This window comes from Homo sapiens, chromosome 4 (genome assembly GCF_000001405.40).
Source record: "Homo sapiens chromosome 4, GRCh38.p14 Primary Assembly".
Taxonomy (NCBI): domain Eukaryota; kingdom Metazoa; phylum Chordata; class Mammalia; order Primates; family Hominidae; genus Homo; species Homo sapiens.
In genome coordinates, this window is record NC_000004.12 from 149,182,529 (window position 1) to 149,199,631 (window position 17,103).

General features: G+C 36.7%; 1 long non-coding RNA gene across 1 annotated transcript in view, besides 1 other annotated feature; it reads left to right on the forward strand.

The window, feature by feature from the left end:
• The window catches only part of LINC02355 (long intergenic non-protein coding RNA 2355), a 123,829-nt gene that overhangs the window by 28,234 nt on the left and 78,492 nt on the right, over nt 1-17,103 (forward strand). The gene's annotated exons all lie outside the window — the stretch shown is intronic.
• Nucleotides 1,074-1,586: an enhancer, noted in NCBI's record as "NANOG hESC enhancer chr4:150104754-150105266 (GRCh37/hg19 assembly coordinates)". NCBI's record gives its function as "activates a minimal SCP1, AML or CMV promoter by ChIP-STARR-seq in primed H9 embryonic stem cells {active_cell/tissue: H9 hESC(primed)}" and the evidence as "EXISTENCE:reporter gene assay evidence [ECO:0000049][PMID:30033119]".

Consider the following 17,103-nt stretch of genomic DNA (forward strand, 5'->3'; position numbering starts at 1 on the left):
TTCCTTTTAGGCAAACAAAGATAGGGCAGCATGGATGTTTTTGGCATCTTTACAAAACCAAAATCAGCTGCAGCCAGTGATAATGGTTAGCCATTCTCCCTGCCATGTCTAGGAAGATATCCTAACCTAAAGCCTTCTACATGGTACACTTGTTCTTAAACTCTATCCCTGGTAAATCCTGGACATAAGTACATGTAATGCATGGCAGAAAAGATTCTATTTTAACTTGACATTGTGTAATCTTTTCCCCTTCAATGGTTACAAAAGTCTGTAACTGCTATCTAGAACAGCAGATAATTCACTTTTACTCAGAATTAGCCATTCTTCCCCAGCCACATCTTATTATCACCCAGATCCTTCCCTCCCTTATTAGACATCATCCCTAGCATAGCAACTCTAGAATGACACAACAGTGGGTCCTTAACAGGGGCTGATTCACCTTTTGTTATAAATTGTAACTTATTATATATATTAGTATGTCTTTGATGCTAGAGAGTTCAATTTTTTATGTGTAATTTTTATGCTTTTATGTGCAAAAAGGTCCAGATTATAGTTCTTCCAAGTTTCCCATTTTGTTTGTATGTGGAACACTTGGGAATATCTATTAACTCCAATTTAATAGCTTCCTTTATTTTTTTCCTAATGTACTATAATCATACAATTTCTCCTGTTACTGATTTACAATCAGAATTTGAATAGCAGAAAAAAAGAATCCAATGTGTTCTACCTCACTAATAATAAAGAAATAAAAATTAAAACATATTTTTAAACTATCAAGTTAACAAAAATTGAAAGCAAAATGTTAATATCTGGTATTGGAAAGTGCATAGTAAAAGATATTCTCATTTGCTGAAGGTAGTAATTTAAGTTGGTGCAATTTTGTGGAGTGAATTCTAATGATGTTTATTAAGACTTTTCAAAATATTCATGCCATTAACTTTAGCATAAATGCTTTAGGAATGCATTTTTTAAAATTATGAGAGGGCTGTATAGAGACTTACATATAATTTCATTATAATGAAATTTTGCATTATTTTATATATTATATACATATATCATACAAGTATAATAGTAACCCTTGCAGACAATCAAAATTTCTAAAGAATAGGGGGATGATTCTCTAAATTAAGATATATCCTTATGATGGAATATTATACACATACATCATTCAGATATATGCTGTGGCATAATGAGAAATATATATTTGGTCTCTTCCCCTGTTCTGTGGCACCAGTTCCTAAAACCCTCAGAATCTCTGGAATGAAGAGTATCCTTTTGAATGCTAATAAGATGACTGGTGGCTAGGGACTCCTGAACAGCCTCAGGATGTGATTAGAGAGCTGGAAGTTTCAGCCCCACCTCTTAACCTTAGGAGAGAGGAGATGAGCTAGAGAATGATCAACAAGGCATGATTTGATTAACCATGCCTATGTAATGAAGCTCCCATAAAAAGAGGCAAACCCTAAAGGACAGATTCAGGGAGATTCCAGGTTAGAGAAGACGTAGAGGTGCGGGGAGGATGGCATATTCAGAGAGGCCAGGGAAGCTCCTCATCTCTTCTCTCATTGCTTTTTATAATAAGCCAGTAATCTAATAAGTGAATTGTTTTCCTGAGTTCTGGGGGGACATTCTGCTAAATGATCAACCCCAACGAGAAGGTGTGGAAACTTCTGATTTTATAGCTGCTTGCTCAGAAGCACTGGTGACGACTAAGACTTGCAAGTGGCATCTGAAGTGGGGGGCAGTATTGTGGAGCCTGAGTCCTTAACTCAGGATTTGATGCTATCTCCAGGTAGATAGTGTTAGAAGTGAGTTAAATTATAGGACACCGGCCGGGCGTGGTGGCTCATGCCTGTAATCCCAGCACTTTGGGAGGCTGAAGCAAGTGGATTACCTGAGGTCAGGAGTTGGAGACCAGCTTGGCCAACATGGTGAAACCCCATCTCCACTAAAAATACAAAAAATTAGCTGGGCGTGGCAGTGGGTGTCTGTAATCCCAGCTACTCAGGAGGCTGAGACAGGAGAATTGCTTGAACTGGGAAGGCAGAGCTTGCAGTGACCGGAGATTGTGCCATTGCACTCCAGCCTGGGTGATAAGAGCGAGACTCTGTCTCAAAAAAAAAAAAAAAAAAAAAAAAAAAAAAATTGTAGGACACCTAATTGGTGTCTGCAGAGAATTGGAGCATTGATCAGCATGAAAAAAATCCTCATACATTTTGGTGAGCAAAAGTGAAGGGTTAAGAGTTGTCTTCATCTGTTTTTTTGTTGCATATGAAATAATACTTGAAATTGGATAATTTATTTAAAAAAAGAAATTTATTTCTTCAGTTATAGAGGTTGCAAAGTCCAAGGTCAAGGGGGCACATTTAGTGAGAGGCTTCTTGTTGGTAGGGACTCTCTGCAGAGTTCCAAGGCAGCGCAGGTCATCATATGGCCAGGGGGCTGAGTGTGCTAGGTCAGGTCTCCCTTCCTCTTCTTATAAAGTCAGAAGTCCCACTCCCATGAGAACCCATTAATCCACCAACCCATTATTAACCCATTCATGAAGGCAGAGCCTTCATGACTCAATCACCTTTTAAAGGCCCCACCTCTCAAAACTGCCACATTGGGGATTAAATTTCATGAGTTTTGGAAGGAACACATATTCAAACCATAGCACAAGTAGAGAGGGGGAAAGGTTGTTTTTCCTATACATATCCCTATAGCTATTGGTAGAGATGTATAAATAGAAATGATTAGATAGAAATATAAAACGCAAAAAAGTTATCAGTTAAAAAGTAATGGGATTATTAGTCATATTTATTTTTTATTTACACGTTCCTATATTTTCTTTGAAGCTTTTACAAGGACTATCAATCATTTTATAACTCAGAAAAATGTCACAACAACCTAAAAAAAAGACCATGTAAAATGATGAGGAAAAACCAAATACTAAGCAAAATGCTTTCCTTTTCCTTGTAATGTCAATTTGCAATGTTCCTTCATCTTCCTATTTACTTGGTGTGGCTGAAAAGATGGAGAGTTTTTCTGCTCAGATTTCTTGGCCTCAGTAGTGAGTCCTGGACAGTTTTAGGGTTGTTCCCACCCTTAAAGCATTATTTGGGGAGCCCCACTGGAGTTCAGTAGCCTAACCTTAGCCATGTGCTGGACTCTCCCATTTACTGTGAGACAAAAAGGTACTGTGCCAATTATCTATGGCCTCATGAAGCAAATCCTGTTGCCATCTTCTCCTCTCCCTCAAGACTACTGATTTTGTGCAGAGAAAACAGTTACTCTGTGTCTTACCTGGGAAATCGCTTGTTTGAAAATCCCCATTCGTCCTCTCTATACTTTATGTGTTGTACCTGAGTCTCCATCCTTATGAATAAACTCCCGGATATCTGTGTCATGCCTATTCAGCAGACCATTACACAAATTTGCACAAAATATATGCTCTTGATATTTTGCTATTGTTCTAGTAAATGTTAAAGTTCTTTTGATATGACAGATAGCAACCCCTTATCAATCTTATTCCAAAGATTTCCAACACCCTTTTTCTTTTTATGTTAATTTTATTTTTATTACATAGGCATTTTAAGCATATATTAATTTTTCAGTGTCCTGTAATTTACTTTGTTGTGTCAAATACAACAAATAGACTTTCATCTATAGATTTTTAAAAATTCTGTATTATTTTCAGTTAGAAGTCGTTACATTTTACATCCTGTAAGAGGGAAAGCCATGATCTCTGGGATTTACTCTAGAAGGGGGAGATGTATATTTCTGGTGCTGAGATTTTTTCATGACACTAATTTGTAGCTTTCACTGGCAAGGCCTCTACAACTGGTGCTAGTGTTGGAATTGACTGGGAGGATGTGAACTTGAAAACAAGACGACTTGGAATAGAATACTCTCCTGAGGGGTGGATGGTTTGCCTCAGAAATATGGTGGCTGACTGCAACCGATGAAGGACAGCCTATAAACAAAATCCTTCTAGGATTATCTTGGGACGAACCATGGATGCTGGGAACTAGAATATTTTATTTTTAGTTTTAATTTATTTTCCACAATGTCACTTCATTATTTTAGCTTCCAGCCTCAGTCTTATGAAGGCAACTACAATCTGAGTAATAATAAAATGTCCAAATTCATGTTTTGGAGGTGAAGTTTGTGAAAGAATGCTACACTGCTAGAATACTCTACCCTTAGAACACATGGAAAGAGTCTCATACTCAGAAATACTTGGACGAGAGATTAGTTTTCCTGGAGTCCAATAGGATAAGGCTTTGTTTATTGTTACTTAAATTAAAGGGGAAGGTAATTCTAGAAGGAAAAGTATAATTTAGTATAACCCCACTTGAGTTTTATTTATTTATTTTTTTTTTGGTCAATTGCTATGCAGTTCTAGCCATACAGTTTTTAAAATGGACATTGCTTCTGCTTTGTTTTCATATTTTACTTTTTCTTATAAAAATGTTATGCAGCTGAATTGATTTCAGCGTCTTCCTTTTTCCTCTAAGACCCTGATTTCTTTACGTCAATACCACCCTGCTTTAAATTAGACTTTTTGAGGTTTGTTTTGTTGCTTAGCTTACTGGGGCTGCTGCGATAAAGCCCCACAAACTTGGTGGCTTAAGGTGACAGAAATGTATTCTCTCACTGGAGGCTGGACATCTGGAATCAACACACAAACAATGCCATGTTTTCTCTGAAGGCTCTGAAGGCTGATCCTTTCCTGCCTCTTCCTAGCTGCTGGTGGCTGCCAGCAAGCTTTGGTGGTCTTTGGCTTGGGATGCCCTAACTCCAAGGTCTGCCTTCATCTTAGCATGGTGTTCTCCCTGTGTGTCTGTGTCTCTGTGCCCAAATTTCCCTGTTTCTAAAAGGATGTCAATCACATTGGATTAAGAGCCCACTCTAATCCAGCATGACCTCATCTTTACTTGATTATATCTGCAATGGCCTTATTTGCAAAAGGGGTTGTATCATCTGTATCACTGATTCCAGATGAACATGAAATTTTCTGGGACAGTATTCAACCTAGTACAAGTATATTCTAATATATCTCCTTGTAATGTTGCCTTTAGTTTGTTTGTTTGTTACACAGACCTATGGAATCATAGCGCTTATGTGATATTGCCACTTGGATTTAAGAGTGAAAAAAAAAACCAACAACCTTGTTTCTTTCACTAAGTAAGCAACCATTTACCCATGAATATATGCTATGTGTCAGACACTGTTTTAGACACAGGGTGTGTCTGACTTCATCCAAATGGGGTGGCTGACCTCACAGGACTTATATTCTAGTGAGAAAGGTGAGAGATACAGACAATTAACTAGTAAATAATTAGATAACAACATTTCAAATATTCAGAAAAAAAACAATACAGGATAAAGGGAGAGAAATTCTCCATGAGTGAATTCACCAGGAGTGAGTAACAGTGGGGAAGTGACAGAGACCTGAAGGATGAGAAACAGCCCACCTTGTGGATTCTCAAGCAAAGACATTTGAGGGAGAAGTCATAGTCAGTGCTCAGACCTTTGGTTCTGACACATCCATGGCCTATTCAAAGGATTTCAAAAAGTTGAATTCAAAGGGGAAATGTAGGCCAGGAAGCCAGAGAGGGAGACAGGGATCAGGTTATGCAGGGTCTTACCATGCCAGGAATTCAGATTTTATTCTAATTATAAGAGGAAGTCACTGGAAGGTTATAAAAAAAGTATGATCTGACTTAAGCTTTCAAAAATATGATTCTGCGAGTAGTTCTCGCAACCGTTCTCCTTGACACTTGGAGAGTTACAGTCTCTACATGTGCCAGGATAGTCTGAGCTATGTTGAAATAGCAAATATAAACTCAAAAATTTCAGTGGTGTAGCACAGTATAGAAATTTTTCTTCTTCATGTAAAGTCTGGTATAGGTCAGGAGTCTCTTCCATTCCATAGCTGTGTGATTTAGAATGTGTAGTCCCCAAGGATACTTAGACTGGGAAAGAAAGACGATGGGGGATTGTGTAAGATATTTTTAAAGGCCAGACTTGGAAATGGCTTTCATGGCATTCACCCACATGTTGTGGACCTGAATTCAGTCACAGGGTACCAAAGGCCCAACAAAGGAGGCTAGGAAATTGTATCTTCTTGTCTAAGAAGAGGAAGAAGATGTTTCTACCAAACTGCTTGAAGAGGAAGTAGATGTTTCTACCAAACTGCTTGAGGCAAGATAATTCTGACTTGTTGCTTTTTGGAAGCATAAGAAGCTGGTGGATGTTCCATTCTTTCCATTGCATTCTTTAGGAATGCTTAAGTGAGATCTTCAGGTCTTTCCAGGGTCTTGGCATCAACTAGCAACCAGGAGCCTCATTAATCTGCTACAGTTCCACCCCCGCCGCCGACCTCCTAATTTACCTAGACTCTTGCTACAATGATGATGTGTTCCTTGGCCTTTCTGAATTAGAGTTGCCTTACTACAACAAATTGAAATAGCCTATATCAAAGAAATTTCTCCAGAACTAGACTCTAGAATGATATACAACTCACACAACTCAGAACCCAAAAGACAGGCACTTGGCATGGTTAGAATGAACTATAGGCAGCTGAATCTTTTCCTGAATTAAGAGAGAGGACTGTTGTAATGCATATCACTGACAAGGGCCATTTCTCTGGCCCTTGTTTACAGTCAGCAAAATGGCACGTCTCTCCAGATTTTTCTTTACACAGCTCCTTTTCCCTGTGAGAATGGGAAACTTCCTATTTCAGGTTCACAAAGGGAAAGTTACAATTATTTTGACGTATGAGGAACTTGCCTCCAAGCCAGTAAAAATACAAATACTGGTGATGCTGAAACTATTGACTGATTATTATGATTTTTTTGGCTGGGCATTGTCATAAATTATTTAGGATATTTTTTCTTTTAATGCTTACCACAAACTTATGCAGTAAAAACCATTCAAAACTTGTTAAAAATGAGGAGTAGAAAGGCTAAGTCCTCTTCCTAGTCACATGGTGGCAAACAGTGACCCAGCATTTAAACCCATGGGTTTCTGACTCCTAGTCTCATGTTGTTAATCACAAGAAAAGGATAAAACAGGTCGGGCATGGTAGCTCACGCCTGTAATCCCAGAACTTTGGGAGGCCAAGGCGGGCAGATCATGAGGTCAGGAGATCGAGAGCATCCTGGCTAACACAGTGAAACCCTGTCTCTACTAAAAATACAAAAAATTAGCTGGGTGTGGTGGCAGGCACCTGTAGTCCCAGCTACTCGGGAGGCTGAGGCAGGAGAATCGCTTGAACCTGGGAGGAGGAGCTTTCAGTGAGCCGAGATTGCGCCAGTGCACTCCAGCCTGGGCGAAAGTGTGAGACTGTCTCAAAAAAAACAACAACAACAACAAAAAAAAGGGGGTAAAACAGATCCTCTGCCTATTTTGATTCCTCAATATTCAAATATTTAGGTTAAAAATTTCATAGTTCTTTGCTATTTTCCCTAATAGCTGGAGTTTCTAGAATCTGTAGTGTAAGTCTTTTTATGACAAGAAAGTTTAACACGTGTTAGTTTCTTTCTCACCTTAGAGCTATTATATAGAAATGTCCTGAAAAATTCTATGTGTGATAGAAATTTGAGCATGTGCTTCTTTAGGTCCAGCACACCTTCTCCGATATTAACTCCCCCGACTGCAACTGCCCATTCATCAGCCCTCCCAGGCCATGTTTGTCTTTGAATCTCTCATATTTCTTTGTAAAAAGTATACTTTCAATAAATATTTGTTAAATTAGTAAATTCCTATTTCTTTAAGTGCTGGTATGGTTGAAAATATATAGGAAGAACATCAAGTATTAATGTCTTTTGAAAAGTCAACACGATGTATGCTTTTGTTTACATTCAGAGTATTTTTTGTTTTTATTTCCTATTACATATATAATACATGATCATTGTAGAAAACTATAGAAAGCATTGTAGAAAGTATTGTTTTGTGTGTGTATATATATATATATATATATGTGCACATATAAAATGGGATTATGCTGGCACTGTTTTTAATTTTTAAATCTATCATTTGTTTTTTATCAGCTATCAATCAACTAAAAAAGTTAAGAAAAGCCTGCCTAAACAATATCTAATATTACATGACTAGTCTGTATGCTTTTCATAGTCTATTTTTACTGTGGTTTTCTAGAAATATGTGAAAACGTGTATCAGTCTCCCTATGAAATAGTTTAATGGGTTTTACTAATGTGCCAGTAAAATATTTTTGCCCCCAAAATCAACAAGGTAGCTCAAAAGTAAAACTCTTCCTTTCATGTGATGTGATCTACACTGTAGATTTATGCAACACAAAAAATCTACTGGTAAACAGCCAAACAAAACAAGGTCCCTTTATTATGAATGTAGGCAACACTAAGAAAAATAATTAAGCAGTCATTTAAAAACCCATAAACACAGCACACACACACACACACACACACACACAGAGTTTCATTAACTTTAAACCACAAGAAATTAATTACAGATTCACTGCTAATGAACATATGGGATAAGTGCTGACACTCAACTGGTTTCAGTTCAGTGATCGCAGAAACAAAGCAATGCTCACAGACGGATGGTGGGGGGAAACGTTAGTGAGTGGGGGCCAGGAAGCAAGATTCCTTCATAACTATGGAAAACAGTTCCAAAATATTCAGACAGAGAGAAAAGGGCTCCAAAATCCATCCCATTCTGAGTATGAACAGACCTTCTCCATCACCGCCACCTGCTGTCTCTACCTCTAGAAGAAGCTGTAATGTCTGAGGAAGGAGGAGGTTGAGCAGAGGGGAGAGAGTAGGCAGAGAGGCACTGGCAAAGAACCATTGCTCCAGAGCAAAGACAACCCCCCCCACCACCCCCACCCCAAAAATAAAAAGGAAATAGAAAAAGAAAAGAAGAAACATCATGTCTAAAGAAAAGTGTCATAGACCTGAAACAGATAGCTATCTGTACAAAGGGTACATGTGTTAAATCAGAGGGTAAGTCACTGAGCAATTGCAGAGAAATTAAGATGTTGATCCTGTATGTCCTTTCCTATTTAAATATGCTGATGATTTAAAACACCCTCATTGAAGATGCAGATCATGAAGACACTCACCTTTTCATACGCTGAGCTACAATGTCAAACTCTAAAGAAATCATTGCAGCAGGATCAACGTCACTTTCTCTTCAAAATTCTTACCTCACTGCAAACTGAAGACAGCTATGTTGGGCTTCATATTTATTAACAGGATGTAAAAGCAAGTAATACTACCTGGTGTCATAAAATAGTGAATGCTGCCTCCCATATTACTTAGGATAAACAAATTCCTCTCCTGTTTCTATTCATGTCCAGAATAATCAGTTCATTATTCATCATCTGAGATGTATGCGTTATTCATGATTAAATATTTATCAATTCATATTGATGGTTCTTCCTATTGAATCACTCTCCTATTCTTACTCATCTGTGTTTACATCCAGTGAAAATATGTCTTCATTTGTCTATGAACTGGAACAATTCTAAACACTTTGTGTCTACATATAGTATCTACCTTCTTAGTTGAAGCAACTTAAAAATAAATATTCTCTAGGCCACGCACGGTGGCTCATGCCTGTAATCCCAGCACTTTGGGAGGCTGAGGCAGGTGGATCACTTGAGGTCAGGAGTTCAAGACCAGCCTGGCCAACATGGTGAAACTGCATCTCAACCAAAAAGATTAAAAAATTAGTCAGGCATGGTGGTGGGCCCCTGTAATCCCAGGTATTTGCAAGGCTGAGACAGGAGAATCGCTTGCACGCTGGAGGAGGAGATTGCAGTGAGCCAGGATTGTGACACTGTACTCCATCCTGGGTGACAGAGAGAGACTCCGCTTCAAAATAAATAAAATAAATAATAATAAAATAAAAATTTTAAAAATTCTCTAGATTTTTATTTTCTTTTGGAATTATGTCTTTTTTATATTCTTCTCCTTAGTCCTAAAATCATTTTCCATCAAGATTACATGATTTCTATGCTGACAGAGATTTTTCAGTTTAACATAGATGGTAATAAATTAATTTAGCTTCTGGTATTATTTTCATTTTCTTGTCTGTCAGAAATTTACCATCTTGAAAAACAAATCACTAGCTTTCAATTATAAGCAAAGTTATGTAATAATACTAATTAGAGAGTGTAAATGATCAGTTCATCATTTTATCAGATTTTACATAAAAGCATGCCTAGAAAACCATAATTTAAATAATGTAAATGGACTTGAGAAAGCATGATGAATTATAGACTGTAATTTAATTGCATTAGCAAACTTAAAAAAATGTTTTAACATATCAATAACTTTAAATCTTTTTTTAAAAAATTACATTTTAATTGACAAATAATAATTATATATTTTTATGTGTTACGATGTAATATTTTGATACAGGTATACATTGTGGAATGATTAAATCAGGGTCATTAATATGACCCTCACCTCTCATACTTAGTTCTTTGTGATGAGAACATTTAAAATCTACCATTCCAACAATTTTGAAATATACAACACATTATTATTAACTATAGTCACCCATGCTGTGCAATAGATCACTAGAAATATTCCTCCTAACTGAAACGTGAAACTTTTCTTTATTCTTGGTGTATAAAAGAAAGAGAGCTCAAGCTAAGGCATTTCCCAAGGATATTTTCCAGTGTCTCAAAGAGTATATAATTATACAGTTCACTATTGTGCTAAATAGGTACACTTTTTAAAAACTGCAATTACTATTCTGATTGAAGGGGTGTTTGATCATTACTCTGCTGATGCTGAAAAAGTATAGTATGATGCTGAAAAAGTACAGCCTTTAAAGTTTAACTGCTTATATTCAATTTCCAACTTTTTCATTTGCCAGCTAAGTAACTGTGCCTGTTTTCTTTTATGTAAAATGGGGCAAAACTGGTTATTTGGAGAAAATATTATTTTCAAGATTAAAAGATATGGCATGATTTGCATAAAGTTTTCAGAGCCTGTAACGTGATAAGTACTCAATAAATGCTGGTTTCACTGCATTGATAAATGATGGTGGAGATGGGGGAGTGTCCAGGGAGGAAAATTGAATCTTATAGCCCTTATAATAAGAATGCTGTGGTCTCCCTATTATATCCATAGTTTGTGAATATTTTGTCACCAGGTTCTTCGTGTATATTAGAGGGACACAGGGTTAAAGAGAACTCCTGTTCTTTTGTGTGAATTAAACAGAAGGGAATATCAAAGTTGGGTTACTTTTCTATGTAAAGATCTGTTTAGACAAGTTATCTAATCTAGGGCCCTTGTAATCATTAAAGAAAGAAAAGTCCAATTATTTGATTATTTGCTTTATTCTTATTTATGTCTCTACGTTGTATTTAACAGTTTTCTTTAAAATTCATCATGCACAATAAAAATGTATCTACTTTCTCCTTTAGCTTCAGAGGCCCCACACTTTCCTGGTTTCTTCTTCCACCTCTCTGAATGTTTCTTCTACCTCCTATATGACGTCTTGAAGTGAATTCTTGTAATTTCATATTGCTTCATCATCCATTTCAATATAAGCTTAACTTTCTCTTAACAGAAGCAGGGCTTAGCCACCATTGACACAATTTCCAGTTCTCTGCTTCCTTCCAGTTCCTCAAAGTGGTAGACCTAGATATCTGCCTTAAAACAACCATCTTCTGGTGACCACCTTCCTATAGGACAGCTAGATACAACCTACTTGACTCACCCCATGGGGCCCTGCATCCTGCATGGACTGTGCAGATATGCCACAGTGACCATCTCTCAGTCACAGTGTGACTCCACAGAACTCACTTCTATTTGCTCTAAACCCACCAAGCAGAACTCCCTGAGAGATAACTGCTTGGATAATGCCTTGGACCTCAGTGAATGCCGTGGTCCCTAGGTCTTCTTATCTCTCTTGCTCCTTACCTGCTGGTTGACTCTCCATGCCCCTTCCAATTGGCTTTGTAAAGGGTGCTGTCCTTGTCTCTCTGGGATCTGTGCGTAAGAAAATGGTTCTGTTATTTCATGTGTTTTGTTGAGTTGCCTCCTCTGGGTCTCATGTGACCAACACACCCAAACCTAACTTCTTTCCCAGTTAGGGCTCTCATTGAGAGTGGCTACATTACTAGAAATAAGACAGAGATCAGACAAGAGCAGCAACGGCATTTGCCAGCATAAAGAATTTTCTGTGAGAGGGCCACCTGGTCACGGGTTGGACACTTAGGCAGTAGAGTGTCTACCAGGATAAAAAAAGGATCCCATGAGAAGCACATTGTAAACATCCATGATTGAATCTTTTGATTACTAGTCAGGGCAGAGCTAGAGCTTATGGCCACTCTCATGAGAAAGACCTCAGGACTAACTTACAGAAAATAGAGCAAGTCCTCTTCCTATCACCTCACTCAATCTTTTTTCTTCTTTAAATATTCTTTTGGAAAAATATGTATCCCCTTAGCTTCATCTACCATTTAAAATTCAGATTTCCTAATGTTACAGATCAAGCCACCTTCTTGAAATCCCCGGCTGTCTCACGGAGAGTTTAAAATCAACACATCTAAAATAAAATTTTACTTTCACATCCCAAATATTTTTATTCTCTTAAATTCCCTCTCTGAGGGAGAGCCTGAAATCCACTCATTAGTCCAAACAAGAAACCTAGAAGTTATCCTGCTTTTCTATCACTCCCTGATTTCCATCATCTCATTTTCAATTAAGTTCTGCAAGTGTCTTTATAGTCTCTCTCAGCCTTTCAGTCTTCAGGCTCCTAATCCAACATTTCATCATTTCTTCTTCAAATCACCACACTAACATGCCGATCCTCCCTAGGTGCTCCTCTTTCCATAGTGTTTTCCATTCCATATTCTGAGATATGGCTTCCTTTCCTGCTTAAAATATGTTTATTCATACATTTCATCAGCAACTATATATTGAGCATCTACTATGTGCCAGGCCCCCCCATTCTAGGGCCCAGGACACTATGGTGAACACGTTCTTTGCTTGATGCTGTTTACAGATCATTTTAAATATATATATATATATATATATATATATATGTATGTATATGCACACATATATATACACATAGATATATAAACATACACACTTATATGTGTGTTTGTTTGTGTGTATATGTGTGTTAGACCTATAAGAGCATCAAAGCTACCAAAGATTTCCATTCCACTTTGGAAATGTATTAAAAGTATTCTTGTCTCGCTTGTATATTCATTTATTCATCCATCCGTCCAATAACTATTCTTTAGTGCCTCTTTAGTGTCTTCATGATAAAGTTCAAACTCAGTATTACATACAAGTGCCTTTGTGATCTTATCTCTGCCTCTCTCACTAGCTATATTTTCTGCTACTCTTTCATATATCTTCTACATTCCAAGAACAAGTTTTGTGTGCACTTATAATCTTATCTCCTGCCTGAAAGTTGATATTTCTATCTCTTCTAAGAAGAATATCTTTTCTGCCTCATTCTTGGAAACTGAAAGTCACATATTCAGAATAACTTGTCTTCACCCACCTACCTTTCAGGTTGTTAGAGACCCCTAGTCATACATAAATCTATCTCTCCAGCTGTCCTATTGTATGATAGTTGTTTATTTTTAAATCTCCACTGTGAACTTTCTAATGCATCCCCATCATGTTTACTTTCTTACACAATGGCTGGCACATAGTAGCAATTTATAAATGTCTTTTGAATGAATAAATGACAGAATGAATGAATAAATTATTCCACTTGGGTCAGATGCTGCAGAAATATTCTGGGCTTTGTTGAACAGAATGTTTTCATTTCTTCTTTTCTTCTGAAGAGTCCTGGAATGGTGGCCTAAAACTACTATGAAAGAGTTCCTAAATTAGGTTTAATTTAGTAGTGAAGTCAACTAAATTCCAACAAAATTACCACCTTTAGAGGTACCTAAAAATCTATTTAGCAACAAAAATACCAAAAGCAGTAGGAGATGGTTGATCAAACTTTTCTTCTTAAACCTGATGAGCACAGCTTTTTGTTGAAAATGATGAGGCCCACACATTTTCAAATCTGTTCAGTTCACTGAAAGGGTACTGTGCCTCAAGATCTTCATTCTTGAAATTCACCTTCACCTCATCTGCCTGCACAACACTTAGGAGTTCTGAGAACTGACAAAGTTTCTGAAGTTCTTTGTGTCCATTGTCTCCCACTTTTTTCTTAAAGACAGGAGTATACTGAAAGTGCCAAACATTGAAAACTGGTATAGCTGTTGAGGCTAATCTCATCTATTCAAACAACGTGAAAACAGTGAGTGGATTTGCAAGTGATACAACAGTAGCCCCTGCCTGTATTAGAGTCTTGGGTCACAGTATAGCAATCTTCAGCTTTGCCAATTTCCCAGGGCTCTTTTTACAAATAAAATTCTCCTCAAAATCTGACTAAAAAATTATATTTTTTCATTGAATTATTCATAGAAGGATCATTTAGTGATACTGGCTTCGAGAAGCCTGAGTCTCTTGCAAATTACAGATAATGCTCAGCACAGGGCGTATACGAGTTAAATGTTTAGTAGTAAGGCCATAAATATATAAATTCTAGAATGAAAATTATTACCCCATGCAGGAAATGGGAGATTTTACATATGCATACGTATATAATACTATGTATGAAATATTATATATGTGTCTCTACTTAAAGCCAGACAACCAAATAGCATAAATAATGTATGGATTAAAATTCAGTTTGACTTTACACAATTATGTAATGTTCTGAAATCTTCCAAAGCTAAAGGGAAGTTAAATTTCCATTAGTAAGACTATTCTATAATACTGCATTGTTCATTAATTGTTGCTTGAAGATTGAGTATTAAGTAATGGATTCTATGGCACTTACATAATATTTTATATTTGCAAAGTGCTTTGCAATTGTGTGCCAGTTAAATGTTAACCGGCCTTATATCCATTATGGATGAGAATAAGAAATGCCTATATGCAGAAGGACAGATTATTGGAACTTCTTTAAATGAGACAAGAAACATTTTCATTAACTACATATGTCCTGTAAATTACGGACCTGTCTACATCTTCCATTTTATGAACAGTCTTTGAAGTTGAAAGTTTAAAACACTAGCCATTCCTCAATTTTCATTCAGATCTTGGCATAAAACTGCACTGATTCCAACAATCACATATTTTTTTCTAATCAGTATTCATCCCAAGTTGTCAATTTACCCTCTATTATCATGCATGTTAGCACTAGTATCCTGTTCTTCAACTCTATACTATAGAAAATCTTTTTCAGTTGGAATTTTAAAATTTAACAATTTTTTACTGATCTTCATATTTTTTGCAAAAGACTTTAAAAGTCTTTCAGGCCCTTGTTTATTATTTAAATTTGTCTGTCATTCAATAGGATTAATCAATATTTTAACATATATATATATCACTTCTTCTCAATTATTTCCTATTACATTATACTTATCAACATGGAGTCTTTGCATAGATAATGTGTTTATTCTTCCATATAATTTTCTTTAAAATCTTGTATTAGAAAGACGTTTTTTCCCTCATTTAGTTTAGTGTTAAATGAAATTGGGTGAACTGAAATAGGGCATGTCAGATCTACCAGATAGCAGAAACTCTACGAATCCACAAAAACTGCTCCTTGAAAATCCTAACTCAACGTAGTTATTTGTTGAGAAATTATTGTGAATACACTTTACGTGGATATCTGCTTAAATGATAATGATTATTCACAACTCAACTGCACATGCAATTGAATTTTTTAGTAATGTGTCTGATTCTTTAATCAAACAGAATGTTCACATCCCTGACTGGAGTCAGGAAGACTAAGTTGAAGGTGCTGAAATAGGTCAAGTGACAGCTGAGAGGGACCGGAAGGAGGGTATATGGTGGTGCTGAGAACGGGAAGATGGTCAGGGAGAGGCCGAGCAGAATACTCTGGTGAGACAATACACAGAATGGAAGGACTAGGGGAGACGGACAGAGCACTGCAGGAAAAGCAAGTGACAGAACAAAGACAGTCGCCCAAACATTTGTTCAGATTTGGGGCAGAGATGTCTGATAGGTACACAGAAGTGTACAACTGGACTTCGAGAGAGGGAGAATGGTCGGGGGGAAGTAATAGATTTACGGGTCATTGTGCATTTATTTCTGTTGCTCTATTTTAAACTGAGATACGGGTTTGCAAAGTCAAGATGTTAAGTTCTACATATTTCTTTCTGGGTGTTTTGCTAAGCTTAGGGAAATGTATTATATCAACTACATAACAAGGTTATATAAACGTTGAGAAAGCTTTAAAGAAATAAATAATCTAAGCACAATTTAGGACTGTTTTCATGAATTTTCAACTGTCATCACTTACTACTTATCTAACTCTCATTTTCCATACAGAACACTTTTTATCCCCCAAATATAATCATTTCAAAGAGGCAAATCCCTCTCCCTTGGGGAAAAATTAGGGTTAGGTTAGACTCAGAGTCTAGTGTTGTGGCACTGGAGCAGTGAGTTTTTAAAGCTCATTTTTCTTGATAACCCCTTATAATAAGGTAATCCTCCCTCCCCACTTACCATTAATAAAGGACAAGCATTGTTCTCAGTTTATTGTTGTCATCTCTGCTCCAAGAGTTCTGCCCTAGCCTACCTTGGCTCTTCCAGCTTCTGCTTTTTTTAGACTTGGAAAGAAAAAGAAACACAAAATCAGAAACAAAAAGTTAAAATACTTAGGCTACATTTTTTTGTGTGTGATCATGAGCCCATAAAACTCTTTCTAATCAGACAAAATCATTGTCTCTTCTCCACCTCAGTCCTTTGATCTTTGTGGCAGCATCTAATTCACGCTCATTTGCTTTGGATATTTCATCCTCAGCCAGCTGTGACACCTGAGTAATTTCACATACAAAACACATTTCTGAAATATTCATATTTATCAATTTTACTAAAGTATTTTACAATTTTAAAGTACATTTAAACAGACCTCTAAATCAATTTAAAAGAAAAGAAGTTTAATACAGGCAATAAAAAGTGTCTGCTCAACGTACATTTGTAACGTGCATAAGTAAAATACAGTTACAAAGTAAATACCTTGGCTCTTTTCTGTTAGCAAAGTGAAATATGTTCTAATATTT